The sequence below is a fragment of the Homo sapiens genome, chromosome 2 (assembly GCF_000001405.40).
Source record: "Homo sapiens chromosome 2, GRCh38.p14 Primary Assembly".
Lineage (NCBI taxonomy): Eukaryota > Metazoa > Chordata > Mammalia > Primates > Hominidae > Homo > Homo sapiens.
The window spans coordinates 47,721,452-47,746,138 of record NC_000002.12 but is presented as its reverse complement, the minus strand read 5'-3'; the positions used below and the strand labels follow the sequence as shown (position 1 = coordinate 47,746,138).

Sequence of the window (24,687 nt, the reverse complement as noted above, 5' to 3'; positions counted from 1 at the left end):
TAATTTTTAGTGGAGATGAGGTTTCACCATGTTGGCCAGGTTGGTCCCAAACTCCTGACCTCTAGTGATCTGGCCACTTTGGCCTCCCAAAATGCTGGAATTACAGGCGTGAGCCACCATGCCCAGCCTGTTGTGTAAACTTTAAGCAATATCTTTCCCATTATAAAAGTTTTCTTGTGGCTTGAGTGTAGGACGATGCTCTTAAAAATTGAGATTTCCTTTACAGATATTTATTTTACAAAGTGTTACAAAATAGCCAGCTAAATGCCACAGGTCTTATTTTAAATACCAATCTAGTTAGATAGGTGGTCTTTTCAATTTAGCTTGTTTCTGCTTAATTAGATTACTGACTTTAGGGTGGAACCCTTTAGTGAATAGGGCAAGGGAAGCATTTGTAGTCTTCAGGGTCAAATATTTAAATGTGAAAAGCAGGCACAACTGGAAGGCAGGGCATCGAAATTTTTAAAAATCAAGGGTCCCATTTTTACTGCATCCTGGGTCCCCAAAAGTTGGAAATGCCATGAGACCAGCCATGCGGTGGGTGACCCAATAAACCCATTCTAGCCTATCCCCCATGGGAGTCTTATCCCTCAATGATGAGCAGTCTTACACCTTTGAAGTGTTCAAATGATGCCTTTCTCATCTAAATGCACAAAGAAAAGTGTGCCCTGCCTGCAGTAGCAACCATTCATTGTATCCCCTGTCAGCCATTTCCAAAACTGCAGCCTTCACCAGTGACTTGTCAACCAGTGCACACACAAACGTCAGGTTCCCGCTCACAGCACAAAGCAACTCATGGAACCCACTAAAACCAAAGAGATTAGGCGATACAATGCAAAAAGGAATAGAGCTTTAGACCTGAAAGAAATTGCCCACAACACTTCAGACTCCATAAGGAAAACAGAAACTCCAAAAAGCAGGTGAGTGGTGCTGTGTTCTGTGTTCTTCAAGGGGTCTCAGGGTCATTAGAAGTCTCTTCTAAGCTTCATGTGGTATTGAAAATGACAAAAGGAAGGAGAAGCAGATGTGGAAGAAAATAGAAGAACAAGTCTTAGAGGAGCCAATTTGGGAAGATTTTCCGCTTTCAAAAAGGCCAATGAAGTTTTACATTTTTCTCAGCAAAAATCATGCCAATAAGATAGGAAGCAAACAGTGGGATCAAACACATTTAAAAAGGGGCTTTAGCTGACTGAGAAAAATCCCAGAAACAGAATCCAAAAAAGGAAAAAGAAGAAATATTTTATTCTCAAAAAAATTATAGCCTAAATATCAGCTTTTTTTTTTTTTTTTTTTTTTTTTTTGAGACAAGGTCTTGCTCTGTCACCCAGACTGAAAGCAGTGGCATAATCCAGCTCATTGAAACCTTGAACTCCTGGGCTCAACGATCTCCAGCTCATTGAAACCTTGAACTCCTGGGCTCAACGATCCTCCTAACACAGCCCCCTGGGTAGCTAGGACTACAGGTCTGTGCCACCATGCCTGACTATATATATATATATATATATATATATATATATATATATATATATATATATATATATATATATATTTTTTTTTTTTTTAACATTTTTTGTAGAGACGGGGTTTGCTATGTTGCCTAGGCTGGTCTTGAACTCCTGGCCTCAAGTAATCCTCCTGCCTCATTCTTTCTGATGCAGGATTTTTCTCAGCCTCACTTTGCCAGCTGGAAACTTCTGTGGCTGTCAGGGCCTCTGCTTATTTCTTCCCACCACCCCACTCCAGCCCATGGCTCCCAGCTGGCTTGGCTCTGCAAGCCGCTTCCCATCATGTGGGGCAGCTGCCTGGCACTGGCAAAGGATGGGAGGGCTACAGCTTACAGCTCCTTTCATCCCCTACTGTTTGGTGGGTCCCAGGTTCTTGTGTGTGGTGTGTGGTTTGTGTGTGGTGTGTGGTTTGTGTGTGGTGACTGGTTTGTGAGTATGCAAAAGACCCAAAAGAAAGACACCACTCAAAGGTGGGGAAGACAGTGTAAAAAAAACAATTAGGGAAGGGTAGGATATGTAAAATAGGTGAACGGTGAGGATCAAACAGAGGAAAGTGCACCAAATGGGAAGAGAGATTCCCAACCCAGTCTGTAGACTTGACTTGTAGCTTGGCTTTCAGGCTTTAAACTCTTTGGATTGAAGATGGGGTTTCACAGGGGACCCCACCTCCATCTGCCTAGACATTGGCCTGCCTCCTGCCGCTATCAATTCTTCGCCAAGTGTTGGGATTGTAGCAGTGAACCACTGCTCCCAGTACTAAATATCAACTTTTAGTGAAGATGACTTCTTCCCATAGAACTCTCAAAAAGAATCTTTTTGAATCTCTTATTATCAGATTTCAGCCAGGAAAAACATAAATTAGGTCTCCCATTCAGTGTGTCTGGTTTTAAAACCAGCTTTTTTTCTAGTTGTGAATGCAAATGAATTATTGTTATTATTATTATTTTTTGAGGAAAGGTCTCACTCTGTCAACCCAGGCGGGAGTGCAGTGGTGTGATCACGGCTTATTGCAGCCTCGACCTGTGGGGCTCAAGTGATCCTCCCACTTATTTTTTTATTTTTTGTAGAGAAAAGGTCTCACTATGTTGCCCAGGATGGTCTCAAATTCCTGGGCTCAAGTGGTCCTCTCACCTCGGCCTCCCAAAATGCCGATATTACAAGTGTGAGCCATGGCACCCAGCTGAATTATTTCAGACATTTCAGAAGATCCCTACTTTGGCTTCTGCTGCTTTTGAGTGTCCCAGGTTAAGCGAGCCCACTTTTCCTAGATATTTACAAGAAGACACCTGTAAGGGTTATACGTAAATCCAGCTGGTATTTCTAAAAAGAGTGCTTAGATTTTGAAGCTGATTTCCCATAATTTAAGAACTTTTCAAAAGTGGCCAATGGGGGAATGTGTTTAAGGTCAAAGTGTGACATGTCTCACACTGTCTCTAACTACCATGTGGCAGCACAGTGATCAAGGCATGGGAAACCAGACGTGTTATACGTGTCCAGAAGAGCAAAAAGGGGGTACACGTTTCAGTTAGGAACTAACAGGAACTGGTCACAAATGAAAGGCTAAGTCCACATTTTCAAGTGATGGAAAACAGCAGCCACCTTTTTTTTTTTTCTTTTTTTTGAGACAAGGTCGTGCTCTGTTGGCCAGGTTGGAGCATAGTGGCGTGATCACAGCTCACTGCAGCCCCGAACTCCTGGGATTAAGCAATCCTCCCACTTTGGCCTCCCAAAGTGCTGGGATTTCAGATGTGAGGCACCGTGCCTGGCTGAGCTGCAATCTTAAAAGCATGCTCTATGAAACTATGGGGGCCAAAGCCCTTGGTCCCCTAAAGGTTTGCTGAAAAATCACTGACATAAGGCAGATTGATTAATAGGAGAAAAGCCATACAGATTTGTTTGACGTGTATACACAGGAGCCTTCAGCATGAAGACCCAACCTCCTAATGAGTACAGAAGCTCAGATACCATCTTATTTTTCTCTCTCTCTCTCATGCTAAGAACTCTCCACAAATGGAAGGTTATATGCCATCTTGAGGTTACAGAAAGAATGGGGACTTCGATCCTGGCAAAACAGGTTATGGAGGTGGGGAGAAGAAGAATTCTGTTGAGGGGATTATTAGGGAGAATGAATGGATCTGGCAACAGAGATGAACTTGTAAATAGTTCGCTTTGAAATTTAAATGATCCTTGGAAACTGTCATTAAAACGGGTCTGTTCAGGTGTGTTTACGCCTTGGTCTTATTTTCTGCAATAGATAATGAGAAAACAGGGAGGGGAAGCAAAAAACAATCGTTCTCCTTGGTGGGTCTGGATCTTAAGCAGATAAAGGAACTTCAGCCTCTACAGGGGAGACAGTGGTGGGAGGGAGAGGTCAGAGAGACCTTGAGGCTTCTCAATTTCAATCTGTCAAAATGCTATCTTTTGGGGTATTGGTTTCTGAGCCCCAACAAAATGAAACCACCAGTACCTAACTGTCAATCTTTTGATCAAAAATTCTGCTGTGTCACAGGGGTAGAAAAACTTTGACCAGAACCCCTGATCCCAAGGCAGAGGGAGAAAAAAGGTAGTTCCCTGAAGAGCTTTTTACTCAAAGGTCCTGTTCAAAGGCAAAGCCCGAAGCTCTCCCCAGGACAGAGAGGGTTTGAAAAATAGTTCAAACAACGTTTGGACCTTCAATCAAAGAGTGGGAGGTTCTAATTCAGGAGAACTCACCCAAAACATCAGATGGGACACTGGAGGGAATGTTCATGCTGGTACCCAGTATCACTTTCAGAGAGAAACACAGGGTGGTTGAGGGGAGTTACTTTGAATCCTGCCAATTTCACCAGATTAGTCAACCTAAAAGGAAGAAGCTGAGGCCAACATAATGTAAGTAGAGTTTATTTGGGCCAAGCTTGAGGACTCCAACCTGGGAGCATAGATTCAAGTTGCCCTCTGATTAGCAACAGATACGAGTTGATTTTTAAAGGAAAAGAAGAGGCAGTTCCTAAATTCTTTACCAAGAATTTACATTTAAATAACATAAGCTATTGATTGGCTATCCATTGTTCTTTGTCCAGGGACATGAAGATAATGGATGAGGCAGCTAATCAGGAACAAAATGACTTTAAGCAATTGCCCTCAGACATGGATGCATGTGGTGAGGTGTGACTGAAGTCCCATACTCGTGTCTCTCTGGACCTGCATATCTCACACAGCTCAGACTTCTGTCAGCTGTTTTTCTTTTCTCAGAAGAAATGACGTACAGATTTATTAATGTGCACAAGGAGAACCACAGAGTGATTACTCCCACCCTTTCATGGGGTTCAGAAGCTTGTGTACCATCTTGAGGTTACAGAAGGAATGCCACCTTGGATTGTGGCAAAACACGTTCTGGGATAGGGAGAACATGTTATGCAGATGAAACCTTACAGGTAGCAGCCCTCAGAAAGAATAGAAGGTAGATGTTTCTTTCAGACTTTTAAGGTGTCAGACTTTCTAATCTTGCCCAGATCCAGATAGGGGAGGGCTTCAGAAACAGCCTGGTGGCATCAATGCAGATTCTTGCTGCAGATGCAAATCTTTCTCATAAGGAGATGGCTTTTAAGCTCTTTGTGTATTTCCGCCCTTCTGAATAGCCATCTTGAAATATGCCAAAGAGGGCCAGGTGCGGTGCTTACGCCTGTAATCCCAGTACTTTGGGAGGCCGAGGCAGGCGGATCACCTGAGGTCAGGAGTTCGAGACCAGCCTGGCCAACCTGGTGAAACCCCCTCTCTACTAAAAATGAAAAAATTCAGCTGGGCGTGGCGGTGGGCACCTGTAATCCCAGCTACTCAGGAGGCTGAGGCAGGAGAATCGCTTGAACCCAGGAGGCGGAGGTTGCAGTGAGCCGGGATGGCACCATTGCACTCCAGCCTGGGCAACAAGAGTGAAACTCCACCTCAAAAAAAAAAAAAAAAAAGGAAATATGCCAAAGAAGTGTATTTTGGACTGGAATATTTTGGTTTCCTTCAAGACATTAGGGCAGTGTCGACAAAGAGAGTCAAACTCTGTAAAATATTTAAAGAGGTTTATTCTGAGCCAAACATGAGTGACCAAGGCCCAAGGCACAGTCTCAAGAGGTTCTGAGAACATGTGCCCATGATGATTGGATTATAACTTGGTTTTATATGTTTCAGGGAGACATAAGATATCAATCAATGCATGTAAGTTATGCATTGGTTTGATTCAGAAAGGTGGTAGAGCATGAACCTGTGGCTCACAAGTCATAGATAAATTCAGAGATTTTCTGATTGGCAATTGGTTGAAAGGGTTATTATTTAAAGACCTGCAATCAATAGAAAGGAGTGTCTGGGTTAAGATAAGGGGTTGAAATAGTTTGGATATTTGTCCCCCAAAATCTCAGGTTGAGATATAATCACCAATGTTGGAAGTCGGGCCTGGTGGGAGGCATTTGGGTCTTGGGGGTGGATCCCTCATGGCTTGGTGCTGTCTTCACGATAGTGAGTGACTTCTCATGAGACCTGGTTGTTTAAAAGTGTATGGCATCACGCCCCTCCCCCCGGCTCTTGCTCCCTCTCTTGCCATGTGACATGCCTGCTCCTGCTTTGCCTTCTGTCATGAGTAAAAGCTCCCCAAGGCCTCCCTAGAAGCTCAGCAGATGTTGGTGCCATGCTTGTACAGCCTACAGAACCATGAGCAAATTAAACCTCTTTTTTATATATATAAAAATTACCCAGTCTCAGGTATTTATTTATTTATTTATTTATTTATTTATTTATTTTTTGAGACAGAGTCTTGCCATGTCGCCCAGGCTGGAGTGCAGTGGCACAATCTCGGCTCACTGCAACCTCCACCTCCTGGGTTCAAGTGATTCTCATGCTTCAGCCTCCCAAGTAGCTGGGATTACAGGCACCTGCCACCATGCCCAGCTAACTTTTGTATTTTTAATAGAGACGGGGTCTCACCATGTTGGCCAGGCTGGTCTCGAACTCCTGACCTCAAGTGATCCACCTGCTTTGGCCTCCCAAAGTGCTGGGATTACAGGCATGAATCACTGTGCCTGGCCAGGTATTTCTTTATAGCAATGCAAGAATGCGCTAACACAGTGCAACCTGGCCTAACGGGTTGTGGAGACCAAAGTTCTTATTTGTAGAATAGATAGTAAATGTCTTTTATGAGGCCTTAAGATGTGCCAGACTCTTAGTTAATTCTTTCCTGGATCAGGAAAAAACTTGCAAAGGAGAGGGGGTTCTCTACAGAATATAGATTTTCTCCACAGGAGACAGCTTTGCAAGGCCATTTAAAAATATGTCAGGCCGGGCACAGTGGTTCACACCTGTAATCCCAGCATTTTGGGAGGCCAAGGCAGTGGATCACTTGAGGTCAGGAGTTTGAGACCAGCCCAGCCAACATGGTGAAACCTCGTCTCTGCTAAAAATACAAAAATTAGCCAGGCGTGGTGGTGCATGTCTGTAATCCCAGCTACTCAGGAAGCTAAGGCACAAGAATCGCTTGAACCTGGGATGTGGAGGTTGCAATGAGCCAAGATTGTGCCATTGCGCTCTTGCCTGGGTGACAGAACGAGACTCCGTCTTAAAAAAAAAAAAAAAAGAAAGAAAAAAGAAAAAAGAAATTTATTTTCAGCTTACAGCAGGGTATTGAAAGGGAGAAAAAATATAATTTATTTTCTCAATCCTAATAACTTCTTAGCTGGGATACCTCTATAACAAAAGATAGACCAATAGGAGAAAAAGGTATACAAACTTAATGTGCATATGATCATAGGAGCTATACACACAGTATGAGACTCAAAGGAGGGGTCAGATGGCTGAAGTTTTAATACCATTCAGAGATTACAGAAATGATAGGGGTTTGGGGACTCTTGGGATGGAGGTAGCCTCATGGGTTATGGAACAATGAAGGGAGGAAAGCAAGGCAGGGAAAGGCTGTCTTTTTATGCAGATAAAACCCCAAAAGGTAGCAGCTCTCAGAAAAAATAGGTGGCAGCCTGGGGTAAGGTGTCTGCCAGACCTTTGCTCTCCTTTTCCTGTGAGTCAGCCTTTCCTAAATTCGGATAAGGGGGCTTCAGAGAAAGCCTGTTCGCATCTGCTGTTTACTTCACTCCACTAACGTTGATTTCCTCTACAGATGCAAGTCTCCCCCACAAAAGACAGTTTTTCAGGACTATTCTCGTGTTTGCAGCCCCTCAGAATAGCCATCTCAAAATATGCCAAAGAAGTATATTTTGGGGTGGCATATTTTTGGTTGCCTTCAGCATAAACAACCTGCATGCTTTACATGGCCCCAATCACGACATCACCCTACAGCCATTGGTATGTATGACTATAGCTTTCAATTATCAAAGAAAGGTTAAATGATACTCAGTGAATTCTTTTCAAGAAGGCAGGAAAGTTTGGACGTGGTGGCTTATGCCTGTAATCCCAGCACTTTGGGAGGCCGACGTGGGTGGATCACTTGAGGTCAGGAGTTTGAGACCAGCCTGGCCAACATGGCAAAACCCCATCTCTACTAAAAATACAAAAATTAGCTGGGTGTGTTGGTGGGCACCTATAATCCCAGCTACTCAGGAGGCTGAGGCAGGAGAATTGCTTGAACCCAGGGGATGTAGGTTGCAGTGAATCAAGATCGCGCGACTGCACTCTAGCCTGGGTGAAAGAGTGAAACTCCATTTCAAAAAAAAAAAAAAAAGAAGTCAGGGAAAAGCAATCCATTTTAGAACTATGATGGTGTAAAAGAAAATAAAGTTTCAGGGCCACCTAAATTTATTTTGCCATAAGCCCTGGAGACTGAGTCACATAGCATGATTACCATTCTGTTTCTTAGATTATAGATTAACTCTCTTCCTCATTGTTCTTATTCTGTAAATGACTAGGAGAGATCAGAGACTAGACCTCTCCACTTCCAATCACAAATCACAAAATGTTGCAGAGTTACTGCCTCTTTCATTGTCCTGTACATCACTGAGACCAGATGGTGCAAAATACCCCATGATTTACATCTTCACTGTGGGATGTTAACAATACCTTTCCCAAAAGGAAAAGTCCCCCTTGGCTAATAGAATCATTGTAACTACGCATTAAGCCTTATATAGAAAGATGTTGAAGCCAAGCATGGTGGTGCATACCTGTAATCCCAGCTACTTGGGAGTCTGACACGGGAGGATGGCTTGAGCCCAGGAGTTCGAGGCCATTGTGAGCTATGATTGCATCACTGCACTCCAGCCTGGGCAACAGGGTGTTTCTAAACAAAACAAAACAAAAACAGAAAGATGTTGAAATTCTGTTAAGTTTCCCTAAACTTTATCTATGTAAACAATTCCAACCTTCTACACTTCAGAACACTGACTTTCTTTCATTCTTTGGAATCTGTGCTTCCCAGGCAGCAGTCCTTACACTTTGTGCTTGAATAAACTCTCTTTAGATTAGAGTCTGAGCCTCTTGATTGTTTTCTGTTGACAGTGGTAAAAATATTAAAGTATTTAGAAAAAAAGTATTCAGCCTCGGAGTAGACATAGCCCCCACTCTTCAATGATCCCATTCCAGTGGACAGATAGAAATACCTCTCTGGGAAATCTCTGATGGATTTGAAGCACTGAGACCTTACTCTTGGACAACTCCTGGTCCTATGAAAGAAGGAGTTTCCAATATTGAGGATTTCCTGATGAAACCAGACAGATCAAGTCCCCTCCATTGGGGATATCCCAAGCGAATGGAGGAAGAATGGAATGAATCCAAGAGGAGAAGCACAGGCCTTGCTTGTCAGACAATTCTGGGGTCATACATGTACCCTGGCCTTTAGTGTGGTGGTGTGGGACACGGTAATCAGAACTCAGCTGGTCACCTTTCACTACCAGCCAAATTGTATAACTCACAAAGCAGATTTTCTGTAATATGTAATTATTGAGAATGAATAACTAAGGCGAAAAAAAAATCTATAGAGATGCTCCTTGACTTACAATGAAGTTATGTCCTGATAAATCCATCATAAGTAAAAAACGCATTTAATTCACCTAAACTACCAAACATCATAGCTTAGCCTGCTTGCCTTAACTGTGCTCAGATATTATCCTATAGTTGGCCAATATCATGAAATGCAAAGCCTATTTTATAATAAAGTGTGAATATCTCCTGTAATTTTTTATTTTTTATTTTTTTGTTAAGACGGAGTCTCACTCTGTTGCCCAGGCTGGAGTGCAGTGGCGCGATCTCGATTCACTGCAACCTCTGCCTCCTAGGTTCAAATGATTCTCCTGCCTCAGCCTCCCAAGTAGCTGGGATTACAGGAACACACCATTATGCCCAGCTTATTTTTGTATTTTTAGTAGAGATAGGTTTTCCCCATGTTGGCCAGGCTAGTCTCGAACTCCTGGCCTCAAGTGATCACCCGCCACGGCCTCTCAAAGTGCTGAGATTACAGGTGTGAGCCACTGCACCTGGCCTAGCTCATGTAATTTATGAACACTGTACTGAAAGTGAAAGACAGAATCCTTGTATGGGTCCTCACCATTAATGTGCATAACTGAAAGCACATTGGGCTTGAAGAATGTTTGAAGCATTGAACTAAAATTAATTGCTGGATGATAGGGATGCTACAGTGACAAGGTGATAAATTTCTCTCTCTTCTGATGAGGGTTGAGAATAGCTGGCAGAAGGCACTGAGGCATGGACACTTATTGTTGGTTTAGCAGGCATCCTGTTCTTCAGGAAGATACTAAGTTTTGACTGTAAAGTTTGTTTCTTCTTTTCATTACGTATTTCTGTATAGCAAGCTAGAGCATGTTGTAACTCCCTGTCAGTTCTTACAAATCTTCAGTAAAGATTGTGTGGAAAATGGATCCAGTGATATCCATTTCTTCTAAGGTTTATACCCCACTGCTGATAGTAGCAAACGCCTCCTCCAGTTTCTTTGCTGTGAATGTTCTTGGTGCCTCAGGTATAACTTCTTCTTCTTCTGCCTCAGCTTCTTCACTTATTTCTTCCCCCAGTTTGATCAGTTCCTCATTAGAAAGCTCTTCAGCCTCAGTGCCAACAAGCTCATGAATATCCTCTTTATTGATGTCTAATTCTAGCTGTTTCCCAAGCACTAATATCTTGTTACTTACTATTTCATCAACAGCAGAATTTTTGTTAAAGCCTTTGAATGTGTTCAACATATGTCTTTTAAACTTTCTTCCAAATGCCGTTCATGCATTGCTGTGTGACTTCTTCCCAAGCTGAAGCAATGTTCCAGATAGTATTTAGAATGTTAAAACCTTTCCAAAACTCTTGGAGAGTCTGGCCAGATTCCACTGCTTCAACAGCCTATGTGAACGTTTGGCATAAATAGTATGCTTTGAATGCAGCTATTGCACCTTGGTTCTTTGACTGAATGAGTGTAATTGTGTTCAGTGACAATACACAACCTTTACATCAGGATGCGTGTTGATGATATGGTGTGGGTACCCTGGAACATTGTCTAAGATCAGAAGAATCTTGAATCAGATGCTGTTTTGCCTACAATATCCTCTTGTCAATAGCGTAACACAGTTCAAAAAGTAGTCTGAAAACAGTGCTGACTTGTTTTCAAGGCTTGTAATCCAGGCTTTCTTGTTATGGCAGTAATAAAAAGGAACTAAGTATATGCTTATTCACATTCTTGAATGCTCTAGGGTTCTCCAAGTGGAGAATTTGAACCATGCAACATTTCCACCCAAAAACAGCATTATAAGGTCTTTGAATGCCTTGAATCCTGGCATCTTCCTGTACTCTTGATGAATGTATGGATGCTCTAGGATACGCTTCCAGAATAAGCTTGTTTCATTGGCATTAAATATTTGCTCTCACAAGTATTTCTTATTTACAATTATCTTACACAGCTCTTCTTTAAAAGCTTTGGCACATTTAGTATCTGCAATTGTGGCCTCACTGCTGACCTCTGCATTATGAAAATGATGACAACTTTTGAAGTGTTGGAACTACCCATGACTTGCTATAAACTTTTACATATCCAACGGATCATCAGCACGTTCTTTTAAAGTATTGAAAAGTCTTCTTGCCTTAGCCTGGATCATCAGAAGGCGAAGTGGCATGTGCTTCTGTATCTGGTCTTCCATTCACATGACAAGTAATTTTTCCATATCATCAGTCAGCTCACCTCTTTTCTTTGTGATGACAGTGGATTTAACCAAGGCTGATCATTTCACTACATCACTTATGCACTTCTTTCCTTTAAGAAGGTGGAAATTATGGAATGTGAAAGTCCTAACTTGCCTGAGATGGCCATTACTTCCTTACCACCTTCATGCTGAGGAATTAAGATCTTGAGTTCCATCTCAAGGGTAATTGCCTTCCTCTTCTCACCAGAGGCAGGAGACACAAATGGGCATTTTGCAGACATAATGAGACGTGAAAGCATAAAACACAATATCCCCAAACACTGGGAACACAGTACACTGTAGGGTACCAGTTGTTTACCCTCGTGATCGCTGCTACCCAGGATCTTGAGAGAGTATCATACCACATATGGCTAGCCTGGGAAAAGTACAGTTTCTACTGAATGTATATCAAATTCACATTATTATAAAGTCTAAAAACTGTAAGTTGAACCCTCATAAGTTGGAGGCCATCTGTATATGGATCTTCCAGGAGGGCCATGGCAATGTGGTAAGCTGACTATTAAATGACTTAAAAGCCTAAGAAGTGTCTTCAAAAGAAAAATCAGCCATTTAACAGTTGCAGACTTATCAGGGGTAAGAAGAGAAGGACAAAAACTGAGATAGGTAAAGATAAGGCAAATAATAGTTGACACTTATCAAGGGCTTACTACATGCCAGGCTCTGTTCTGTTTTTCATGCGTTACTGCAGTCCTCACAAAGATCCTATGAAATAGGTATTACATTTTCTCCATTTTACAGAACAGGAAATTGAGGCACAAGGATGTCAGGTAACTTTCCCAAGTTTTAGTAAGAATTAGAGCTAGGATTTGAGACTGAGCAGTCCGGTTCTAGAATCGTGCACTTGCCCATCACCCTTGTGGGGGTCATGACCATTGGCCCCTAAAAGTTCACTGAAAAACTACTGACATGAGGCAAATTTATTAATAGAAGGAAAGACATATAAATTTATTTAATGTATTTACATGGGAGCCTTTGGAATGAAGACTCAACCCAACAATAAGATATAGAAACTTATATACCATCTTGAGGTTACAAAAAGAATGCAGGCTAAGAGTATGGCCCCAAACAGTTTACGTTGGTAAATCATGTTTAGTAGCAAGACATGGTGTGAAAGGGAGAAAGAAAGAGGCCTGGCTTGCAAAGATGGCTTTGTTATATAGATGAGGCCTCATAGGTAGCAGTCCTCAGAGAAGATAGATGGTAAAAGCCTTTTTTTTTTTAATTTAAATTTTTATTTTTATTTTAAGTTTCAGGATGCATGTGCCGGATGTGCAGGTTTGTTACATAGGTAAATGTGTGCCATCGTGGTTTGCTGCACAGATCAACCCATCACATAGCTACTCAGCTCAGCATGCATTAGCTATTTTTCCTAATGCTCTCCCTACCCCAACACCACCTCTTGACAGACCCCAGAGTGTGTTGTTCCCCTCCCTGTGTCCATGTGTTCTCACTGTTCAGCTCCCACTTATAAGTGAGAACATATGGTGTTTGGTTTTCAGTTCCTGCAAGAATTTGCTGAGGATAATGGCTTCCAGCTCCATCTATGTCCCTGCAAAGGACATGATCTTGTTTTTTTTGTGGTTGCATAGTATTCCATGGTGTATATGTACCACATTTTCTTTATCCAGTCTGTCACTGATGGGCGTTTGGGTTGATTCCATGTCTTTGCTATTGTGAATAGTGCCGCAATGAACATATGGCGAAGGTCTTTTTTCAGACCTTTCAAGGTGTCAGACTCAGTTAATCTCTCTTAGATATGGAAAATTTGTAGAAAAGGAAGGCCTGGCTGCATTAGTAGAGATTCTCTACAGATGCAAATTTTCCCCAGAAAAAAATAGCTTTGCAAGGACCTGTCTGTTTGCTGGCCCTGAAGCAACCATTTCAAAATATGTCAAAGAAATATATTTTGGGGTAAAATATTTTGATTTCCTTCACCCTATACTAGAACTACCTCTGGATAAATCGTGAACACTGGTGTGGATTCTAATCAGGGAGCCCCTGTAAGCCTGTGGTCCCTTACAGAAAAATGGAGTCGGTATGCTGATTCTAAAATATAGATTGGGCCAGGCCGGGAGCGGTGGCTCATGCCTGTAATCCCAGCACTTTTGGAGGCTGACGCAGGCGTATCACAAGGTCAGGAGATGGAGACCATCCTGGCTAACATGGTGAAACCCCATCTCTACTAAAAATACAAAAAAATAGCCAGGCGTGGTGGCGTGTGGCGGTAATCCCAGCTACTTGGGAGGCTGAGACAGGAGAATTGCATGAACCTGGGAGGCAGAGGTTGTAGTGAGCCAAGATAGCGCCACTGCACTCCAGCCTGGGTGACAGAGCAAGACTCCATCTCAGAAAAAAACAAAACAAAATACCAAAACCCCAAAAAACAGATGGTGTCAACTGGAGCTGAAGAAGCTGCATGCAAGTATTAAATTCCTGACAAGGGCCAAGAACAAATTAAGAGGGCAGAAATCCAGGAATGTATTTCACATAGCCAGCGAAAAAAAACTTTGGGGCTAAAAACAAAGCAAAACCAGTTACCACTAATCTTGTTTTTTTTTTTTTTTTTTTTTTTTGTTTTTTTTGAGACAGAGTTTCACTCTTGTCACCCAGGCTGGAGTGTATGGAGTGCAATGGCGCAATCTTGGCTCACCGCAACCTCTGCCTCCCGGGTTCAAGCGATTCTCCTGCCTCAGCCTTCTTTGTAGCTGGGATTATAGGCACCTGCCATAATGCCTGGCTAATTTTTGTATTTTTAGTAGAGATGGGATTTCACCAGGTTGGCCAGCCTGGTCTTGAACTCCTGACCTCAGGTGACCCACCTGCCTTGGCCTCCCAAAGTGCTAGGATTACAGGCGTGAGCCACCATGCCCGACCACCACTAATCTTAAGAAGATAAACATTATGAATGATGAAAAAGCTAACAGAGTAAATAAAGCTTTTGTAAATGTACAAAAGGAACTTGCACATTTCTCAAAAGGCCTTTCTCTTGAACATCTACAGAAAGAATTGATTCCTCTGCAGTGTCATGAAAGCAAACCAGTTAATGTTGGTGAAGCTACAAAATTAATGGCTCAGTTGTAGTATAGTGGTGATGCATCTAATTCCACACAAAGACCAACAAATTACATGTTTTATACAAAAAATAAATACATACATAAATCAATAAAATATATATTGGGTCAGGCATGGTGGCTCACACCTGTAATCCCAGCATTTTGCGAGGCCAAGATGGGTGGATTTCTTGAGCTCATGAGTTTGAGCTCAAGCCTGGCCTGGCCAAGCCTGGCCAACATGGTGAAACCCTGTCTCTACTAAAAATACAAAAATTAGCCAAGAGTGGTGGTACCCCCTGTAATCCCAGCTACTTGGGAGGCTGAGACATGAAAACCACTTGAACCTGGGAGGCGGAGGCTGCAGTGACCCAAGAACACACCACTGCATTCCTGCTTGGGTGACAGAGTGAGACTCTGCCTCAAAAAAAAAAAAAAAAAAAAAAGGCCAGGCACAGCGGCTCATGCCTGTAACCCCAGTACTTTGGGAGGCCGAGGCGAGTGGATCACCCGAGGTCGGGAATTTGAGACCAGCCTGACCAACATGGAGAAACCCCATCTCTACTAAAATACAAAATTAGCTGGGCATGGTGGCGCATGCCTGTAATCCCACCTACACAGTAGGCTGAGGCAGGAGAATCGCTTAAACCCAGGAGGCGGAGGTTGTGGTGAGCTGAGATCGAGGCATTGCACTCCAGCCTGGGCAACAAGAGCAAAACTCCGTCCAAAAAAAAAAAAAAAAACAATTAGCTACTTGGGAGGGTGAGGTGGAAGAATGGCTTGAGCCCGGGAGGAGGAGGTTGCAGGGAGCCGAGATTGAGCCACCCCACTCCAGCCTGGATGACAGAGCCAGACCTTGTCTCAAATAATAATAATTAAAAAAAAAAAAAAAAAGGCAAAAGGCAAAAGAACTAGAATAGTTAAAACAATTTTGAAAAAGAAGAATAATGTTGTTGAACCCACTCTACTTTCTACATTTTACGTAAAGATACAGTAGTCAACACAGTGTGATATTGGAGAAAGGAGAGACATACAGATTAATGGAATAGAATAAAGAGCCCAGAAATAGATCCATGCATGCAACTGTCCCCAGGAAAACTTTATAAAATCGATTAAGAGAGGAAAAAATTCAACTAGGCTTGCAGCACAGTTAGCAGTGATCATTAAGCCAGCTCGCTCTTTGGCCCACTCCCTTGTGGCTGCTCTTTGCTTACTACCCCAGGATGTTGGTAGTCCTTGTCACAAGACTGTTCTCTTTCCATTCTGTAGATGAAATCTAAGGCCTTGTGAGATGCTAAGTTTCCCATGGAGTTTCTCCTTTGGGTTTTGCATACAACAAAACTACCCATACCAGCTGTTCTGAGGGGCCCAGCAGAAAGCTGATTCATGGAAGAATGCAGTTTCCACATCCTGATTATTATTATTATTATTATTATTATTATTTTGAGACAGTGTCTCACTCTGTTGCCCAGGCTGGAGTGCAACGGCGCAATCTCGGCTCACTGCAACCTCCTGCTCCTGGGTTCAAGTGATTCTCCTGCCTCAGCCTCCTGAGTAACTGGATCTATAGGCATGCGCCACCATGCCCAGCTAACTTTTGTATTTTTAGTAGAGATGGGGTTTCACCATGTAGTCCAGGCAGGTCTTGAACTCCTGACCTCAGGTGATCTGCCTGCCTCAGCCTCCCAAAGTGCTGGGACTATAGGCGTAAGCCACTGCACTGGGTCAACACATTCTGATTATTTCGTTCACTTTACTCCAACCAATCAATGACCCCAGTTTTCTAGCCCTTCACCCTCCATGATCCCCTTAAAAACCTTTGCCCAGAAAACCTAGAGAAAATGGATTTGAGGCTTGAGAATTCCTCCTGTTTCCTTGTTTGGCGCTTTGGAATTATTAAACTCTTTCTCTGCTGCAAAACTTGCTGTCAGTGTATTGGCCTGTTGCTGTGGCAGCAGGCATACAAACCTAGCAGTCCTGTTACATACGTATATGGTCAACTGATTTTTGACAAACAGACAAAAATAATTCAATGGGAAAAGTACAGTGTATTTAAGGAATGGAGATGGAACAATTAGACATCCAGGTGCAAAAAAATGAATCTCAATCTATACTTCACACCCCATAAAAATTAATTCAAAATGGATCATAGACATAAATGTAAAACCTAAAACTGTAAAACTTCTAGGATAAAACATTTGTGAGCTTGGGTTAGGCCACGATTTCTTAGATATGACACCAAAAGTACAGCTCGTAAAAGAAAAAATCAATAACTTGGACTTCTCTTCAAAAGAACTTGAAGAACTTCTCTTCAAAAGACACTGTTGAAAGAACAAAAAGAAAAGCCACAAATGGAGAGACGCTTTTTTTTTTTTTTGCAAAACTTATATCTGATAAAGGACTTGAATCCAGAATATGTAGAGAACTCAGAAAACTCAATAATAAAAAGTCAACCCTACTTTAAAAGATGAGAAATGAGCCAGACACAGTGGCTCATACCTATAATATTAACATTTTGGGAGGCCAAGGCAGGCAGATTGCTTGAGCCCAGGAATTCAAGACCAGCTTGGGCAACATGGCGACATCCCGTCTCCACAAAAAATATGGTGGCACATGCCTGTCGTTCCAGCTACTCAGAAGGCTGAGTGGGGAGGATCGTTTGAGCCAGGGAAGTCAAGGCTACAGTGAGCTGTGATCACTCAGAAGAACAAAGATCACCTGGTTACCATCAAGCAGGCCATCCAGAGACAAAACTCCTTATCTGAGGAATTTAGAAGTAATTAGCCTTCCCTGTTACCTAAAGTCAGCATCTGGTTCCAGGCCTCTTTCCCCAAAATTTATAAATAACTAGAATTTCTATACATCTCCAGAATGCATGCATGTTGAAACTCATTGTGCAACCCTTGCTGACATTAAGACACCAAAATGTCTGCAAATGTAATCAATAATCATGACCTATGTGCACTAATATGGTCTGAAGTACCCTTAAACTCTCGCTTTAAGGTCCATAAATATCCCTAAGGAAAATCCACCATGGCGTGCTCAGTTCTCTTAATGATGCGCCTGGCTGCACTTTTCTGCAGTGTACTTTCTATCTAATAAAACTTGACTTTTCAAATCTATTCTGCTGTCAGTAGATTCTTCTTACCAACCTGCAAGTCAACCACTTTCTGATGCCAGGGCTCTGACCTCACCTTGTCAGAGGTGTTTGGACCGGAACAACTCCATCTTGAATAGGGGCTGGGTAAAATAAGGTTGAGACCTGCTGGGCTGCATTCCCAGGAAGTTAAGGCATTCTAAGTCACAGGATAAGATAGGAGATCAGCACAAGATACAGGTGATAAAGACCTTGCTGCTAAAACAGGTCGCAGTAAAGAAGCTGGCTAAAACCCACCAAAACCAAGAAGGCTACAAGAGTGATCTCTGGTCTTTCTCACTGCTACACTCCCACCAGCGCCATGACAGTTTACAAATGTCATGGCAACGTCAGAAAGCTACCCTATATGGTCCAAAAAGGGGAGGCATGAATAATCCACCACTTATTTAGCATGTAATCGAGAAATAACCATAAAAATGGGCAACCAGCAGCCCTTGGGGCTGCTCTGCCTCTGGAGTAGCCATTCTTTTATTCCTTTACTTTCTGAATAAACTTGCTTTCACTTTATGGATTCACCTCAAATTCTTTATTGTGCGAGATCCAAGAACATCGTCTTAGGGCCTGGATTGGGACCCCTTTCCAGTAACAACCTGGTAATCGCCCCCACTGCACTCAGCCTGGGCAACAGAGTGAAAACCTGTCTGAAAAAAAAAATGTATTTGAATGGACACTTCCACAAAGATGATATATGGATGGCAAATAAATACATGCAAAAAATATTTTTTTCTTTTCTTGAGACAGGGTCTCACTCTGTTTTCCAGGCTGGAGTGTAGCAGTGCAATCTCGGCTCACTGCAGCCTCGACCTCCCCAGCTTCAGCCATCCTCTCACCTCAGCCTTCCGAGTAGCTGGGACTACAGGTGCATACCACCATGCCCAGTTAATTTTTAATTTTTTTTGAGAGATGGGGTCTCACTATGTTGCCCAAGCTGGTCTTAAATTTTTGGGCTTAAGTGATCCATCTGGCTTAACCTCCTAAAGTGCTAGGATTACAGGCATAAGCCACTGCACCCGGCTGCTAAAATGTTAAACATGATTAGTCATTAGGGAAATGCAAATTAAAACCAAAGTGTAATACCACTACACATCTATTAGAATAGCTTAAAAAAAAAAAAAACCAACAAACCCAAGTTCTGGCAAGAATGCACAGTGACTGCAATGCTCATATAATGTAGTAGCCATACAGAATAATATAGTCTCTTTGGGAAACAATTTGGCAGTTTCATATAAATTTCAACATTTATCATAAAACCCAGAAATCCCACTCCTAGGTATTTACCCAAGAGAAATGAAAATTTATAGCTGGGGATGCTGGTGTGTACCTGTAGTCCCAACTACTCAGGAGGCTGAGGTGGGAGAATTGCTTGAGTCCAGGAGTTTCGGATCAGCCTGAGCAACATAGTGAGACCAGTCCCTGTCCCCAAAACAATTTTTTAAAAGAGAAAATCTATGTTTATAGCAGCTTTATTCATAAATGAAAAAAATTGGAAAAAACCCAGATGTACCTAAATCAGAGCATAACTAATATGTGGTACATCCATCAGTGAAGTGTTATTTAGCAATAAAAAGGAATGACTATTGATGTATAGAGCATCATGGACATGTATCAATTGTCTTATGCTAAATGAAAGAAGCTAAACTCAAAACCTTCATACCTTATGTTTCCATTTATATATTTTGGAAAAGTTAAAACTATAGGGACAGGGACAGGGGAGGTGGCTCATGCCTGTAATCCCCACACTTTGGGAGGCCAAGGTGGGAAGCTCACTTGAGGCCAGGAGTTGGAGATCATCCTGGGCAAGATGGTAACGGTGAGACCCCCAATCTACAAAAAAGTTTTTTTTTTGTTTTGTTTTTTGTTTTTTTAAATTAGCTGGGCATGGTGGCACAAGCCTGTAGTCCCAGCTACTCAGTAGGCCAAAGCAGGAGAATTGCTTGAGCCCAGGAGTTTGAGGCTGCTGTGAGCTGTGATCATACAACTGAATTCCAGCCTGGATAAGAGAGTGAGACCCCATCTCTAAAATAAAAAAATTAATAATAAAAAATAAAAACTATGGGGATAGAAAACAGATCAGTAGTTGCCAGGGACAGGGCCTGGGGAAAGTTTGGCTATAACTGGGCCCAGGGAACTGTGGCTGAGGGAACTGATTTACATCTTGACTGCGGTGGATGACTATAGTCAAAACTCACAATGCTATACACTAAAAAGGGTGAATTTTACTGTATGTAAATTATACCTTAAAAATTTTTTCTATTCTTTTTTTTTTAGAGACAGAGTCTTACTCTGAAGCCCAGGCTGCAGTGTAGTGATGCAATCATAGCTCACTGTAGCCTTGAATCCCTGGGCTTGAGAAATACTCCCGCCTCAGTCTCCTGGGCAGCTAGGATTACAGGCCCACTCCACCATGCCTGGTTAATAAAAAAAAAAAAAAATTATAGAGATGGGATTTCCCTATGTTGCCCAGTCTGGTCTTGAACTCCTGACCTCAAGCGATCCTTCTGCCTTAGCCTCCCAAAGTGCTGGGGTTACAGGCATGAGCCACTATGCCCAGCTAATTTTTTAAATGCATGAAAAACAGGAAGGTTACAACAGCTTGTAGGTCCTTGACCAGAGCTGGCAAATTCTACAAGCGTTCTTTCCAGAGTGAGGCCAGTTTTTTTCTTTCTTCTTCTTTTTTTTTGGGACAGAGTTTCACTCTGTTGTTCAGGTTGGAGTTCAGTGGCGCAATCTCAGCTCACTGCAACCTCCGTCTCGGGTTCAAGTAATTCTCGTGCCTCAGCCTCCTGAGGTTGCTAAATTGGAGATACTAAGGACCAACAGTACTCGTGTTCATCTTGCCTGAGAGGGATGTTACAGGGCAGTCAACAGAGCCAAGAGCTGGGGATTACAGGCATGCGCCACCAAACCTGCTTAATTTTTGTATCTTTAGTAGAGATGGGGTTTTGCTGTGCTAGCCAGGCTGGTCTCGAACTCCTGGCCTCAAGTGATCTGCCCGCCTTGGCCCCCCAAAGTGATGGGTGGCCTAAGCCACTATGCCCGGCCCATTGTCTTTCAAAGCTCCATCACTATGTATTTCCGGGCCAGCAAAATCTTCTAAATTCAAGATCCTTTGCAGCCTGCTGATTGGTGGCTTGAAATCTGAGGGTTAGTGGACTCTGGTCTACATGGGAAAAGTACAAAGGGCAAGAGAAAGCAAGCAGGAGTCCAGGTCACTGAGAGAGCAGCTGACCCTGCCTCCTATCTCCAAATGGGCAGCGGGGCCTGTGGGAGGTAAAGCCCCTATCTCCCACTATTCCTGCAATCTATTCTTCTGGTTCCTTTGGGTAACGCCTTCTTTTTCCAGGTGGCCTGTGAAGCTGTCAATCATGATGCTCGTATATACTCATCTCCCCCACTCTCACCCCAGGAACAGACACGTAAGCCAGGATGACACAGCCAAACAAACTACTCCTTTTCACAGTCCACAGTGATTCATGGAGGGAGGGCACACAACCAAATCAAGGCCAAACAGGATCATCCTGGAGACCACTAAGTAGATAATTGAGAGAGAATTTCTCTCTTCACTGAGGTTGCTAAATTGGAGATACTAAGGACCAACAGTACTCGTGGTCATCTTGCCTGAGAGGGATGTTACAGGGCAGTCAACAGAGCCAAGAGCTGGGGAGGGAACCAGGCCCTGGTAACGTGTGTTGAGCCACTGGATCCAGTCATGCATGAAGTCAGAACCAACCTGGGGCTTCCCAATTATTGAACCATTACTTCCTCTTTTCTCTTGACTGGTTTGAGTTGAGGTTGTTTCTCTCTACATAGGAGTCTTTACTAATACACAATTAAACTTGTACTGTTCTATGGTCATGCACCACTGACAGTTCCACTCAGATGAGTTCGACCAACGGCAAAGGACACCTGCTTTGTGCCAGGCACTGGGGATACAGAGTTGACGAAGACACGGCCCTGCCCCAGAGGAACTCAGAGTCTTATGGAGGAGACAGAAGTATCAGCAAATGCTAAGTGGTCAGATAGAGATTAGTTAACACAAGGAACTATTAGAACACAGGAACCAAGCACTTGCCCCAGCCTGGAGATTCGAATAAGTCTTCTTAGAGATGACCTGTGAGCTGAGTCTCGAAGCCTCACCCATGTGAAAAGATAAAAGAAAGCATCTTTTGGGCAGAGGCATGAGCAAAGACCTGGCAGGGCAAGACAGCATGATGTGTGCAAAAAAATAAAAACACTTGGGTGTTTCTAGAGGAATGCTGTCTAGTAAAAGTCTGTGTTGATGGGAATGTTCTATTTCTATGCTGTCCAGTATGCAATCTCTAGCTAGTAAGCACTTGAAATGTGGATAGTGCAACTGAGAAACTAAATTTTTAATTTTATTTTAACTAAAACTTAGGCCAGGCACAGTGGTTCAGGCCTGTAATCCTAGCACTTTGGGAGGCTAAGATGTGAGGATTGCTTGAGCACAGGAATTCAAGACCAGCCTGGGCAACATAGTGAGACCCCATCTCTACAAAAAATAAAAAATTAGCCGGGCGTGATGGTGCATGCCTGTAGTCCTAGCTACTCAGGAGGCCGAGGTGAGAGGATCCCTTGAGCCTGGGAGGGTGAGGCTGCCGTAAGCCGTCATCACGCCACTACCCTCCAGCCTCAGTGATAGAGTGAGACCCTGTCTAAAATCAAATAATGAAATTTAAAGAGCTGCTTGCAGCTGGTGGCTACCATATTAGACAGTGTAGTGACTGTACGCAGTGAAGTGCAAGGCAGGAGGTGGTGAGAGGTCAGGCAGGCCAGGAGAGCTCCATGAAGGGCCATGAATGCCATTTCAAGGGTGTTGGACTTTAACCAGAAGGTGATGGGGAGTCTTTGGAAGGTGGTAAACTGAAGTGACTTATGTCATCTCAATGGACCAGAAGAAGCCTGGAGTTAGAAGGATGTTGCTCTAGCTGGAGGTAGAACATCTGAAGGTCTGAAACATGGAAATAGCAGAAGGGTTGGTGGGAGGGGCTGATCCAAGAAGCTTCGGAGGATAGAGTCAGCAGGACTGAGTGGTCCCTTGGTTTTGGAGGGTGGGGCTGCATCTTCTGTGTAGGATTTACAAGAAAGATGGGTTCTTGGGTAGTAGGGCTTGGATAGGTTGCTGTTCCCTGGCAGGACTAGAGGTTGGGGGTTCTGGAGCAGCTCCCAGATCCCAAGGCCCCACTTCTCTACAGGTGAGGCTCTGTTAAAGTCAAAGAAGCAGGTTGAAGAGACATATTCCCCAGCTGTTTGTTGTTTCTTGTTAGCTTGAAGGATCATGGCAGCTTGGAAAACTTCGGAGTCTGATTGTAAATACTGGCCAACTGCAGGAGCGGGAAGGCTCTCCAAAAGACAGAGGGGTGGTTTAAAGTCTTTTGTAATTAAGAAAATACCTGGATTGTGAGGCAACTCTAATGCTCTCATGACATCCAAGAAGGCATGCAGAATGGCAGATTCTGGACTTCTTGGAAGTTCTTATTTTTAATTTTTTTATTTTTGAGACAGGGTCTCACTTTGTTGCTTAGGCTGAAGTGCAGTGGCGCAAACATAGCTCACTGCAAACTTGAACTCCTGGGGTCAAGTGATCCTCCCACCTCAGCCTCCTAAGAAACTGGGAGGACTATAGGCACGCACCACCACACCTGGCTAATTTTTTTTTATTTTTCATTTTTTTGTAGAGATGGGGGTCCCACTATGTTGCCCAGGCTGGTCTTGAACTCCTGGGCTCAAGAGATCCTCCTGACGTGGCCACCCAAAGTGCTCGAATTACAGACACAAGCTGCTGTTCCTGGCTTGTTTTTCGCGACAGAGTCTCACTCTGTCATCCAGGCTGGAGTGCATGATCTCAGCTCATTGCAACCTCTACCTCCTGGGTTCAAGCGATTCTCGCACATCAGCCTCCTCAGTAGCTGGGATTACAGGCACGCACCACCATGCCCAGCTAATTTTTGTATTTTTAGTAGAGACGGGGTTTCACCATGTTGGCCAGGCTGGTCTTGAACTCCTGACTTCAAGGGGTCCTCCTGCCTCGGCCTCCGTGCTGGGATTACAGGCGTGAGCCACCATGCCTGGCTTTTTTATTTTTTTAAATGGATTTTTTTTTCTCTCCTTCCAACGCTAGGTTGTCATCCGTCACAATGAAGTTGAAGGAAGGCTTCTGCCTGAAATCATCTCTTTCTCCCCTTGTAATTTGCTGTTTTCCCCATTGGCTTGAAAATTTGTTAACCAGTGAATGGATTAAGGGCGGTGCAAGATGTGCTTTGTTAAACAGATGCTTGAAGGCAGCATGCTCGTTAAGAGTCATCACCACTCCCTAATCTCAAATACCCAGGGACACAAACACTGCGGAAGGCCGCAGGGTCCTCTGCCTAGGAAAACCAGAGACCTTTGTTCACTTGTTTATCTGCTGACCTTCCCTCCACTATTGTCCTGTGACCCTGCCAAATCCCCCTCTGCGAGAAACGCCCAAGAATGATCAATTAAAAAAAAAAAAAGAAAGAAAAAGAAAATTTGTTAACCAGGCTTAGTTAAAAACTCCGTATGGAAGGTTTATGGGATAAAAATCTTTTTCTCTACTGAGGACTTAGGTCCAATGATCAGGGGCCCGCAAATTAACTGACAATAGACAGATAAACAGGCAAAAATAAAACAAGTTTGGCCGGGCGAGGTGGCTCACGCCTTTAATCCTGGCATTTTGGGAGGCTAAGGTGGGAGGATCGCTTCAGCCCAGGGGTTCAAGACCAGCCTGGGCAACAAAGTGAGATCCCATAATTAGCCAGGCATGGTGGCATGCGTCTGTA

At 43.3% G+C, this 24,687-nt stretch overlaps 1 pseudogene, besides 2 other annotated features; it reads left to right on the top strand.

The window, feature by feature from the left end:
- On the top strand, window positions 14,104-14,737 carry RBISP5 (RBIS pseudogene 5; annotated as a pseudogene).
- Window positions 21,445-21,894: an enhancer, noted in NCBI's record as "active region_15739". NCBI's record gives its function as "activates an Ori minimal core promoter by ATAC-STARR-seq in GM12878 lymphoblastoid cells {active_cell/tissue: GM12878}" and the evidence as "EXISTENCE:reporter gene assay evidence [ECO:0000049][PMID:35858748]".
- Window positions 23,854-24,659: an enhancer, noted in NCBI's record as "NANOG-H3K27ac hESC enhancer chr2:47948619-47949424 (GRCh37/hg19 assembly coordinates)". NCBI's record gives its function as "activates a minimal SCP1, AML or CMV promoter by ChIP-STARR-seq in naive and primed H9 embryonic stem cells {active_cell/tissue: H9 hESC(naive and primed)}" and the evidence as "EXISTENCE:reporter gene assay evidence [ECO:0000049][PMID:30033119]".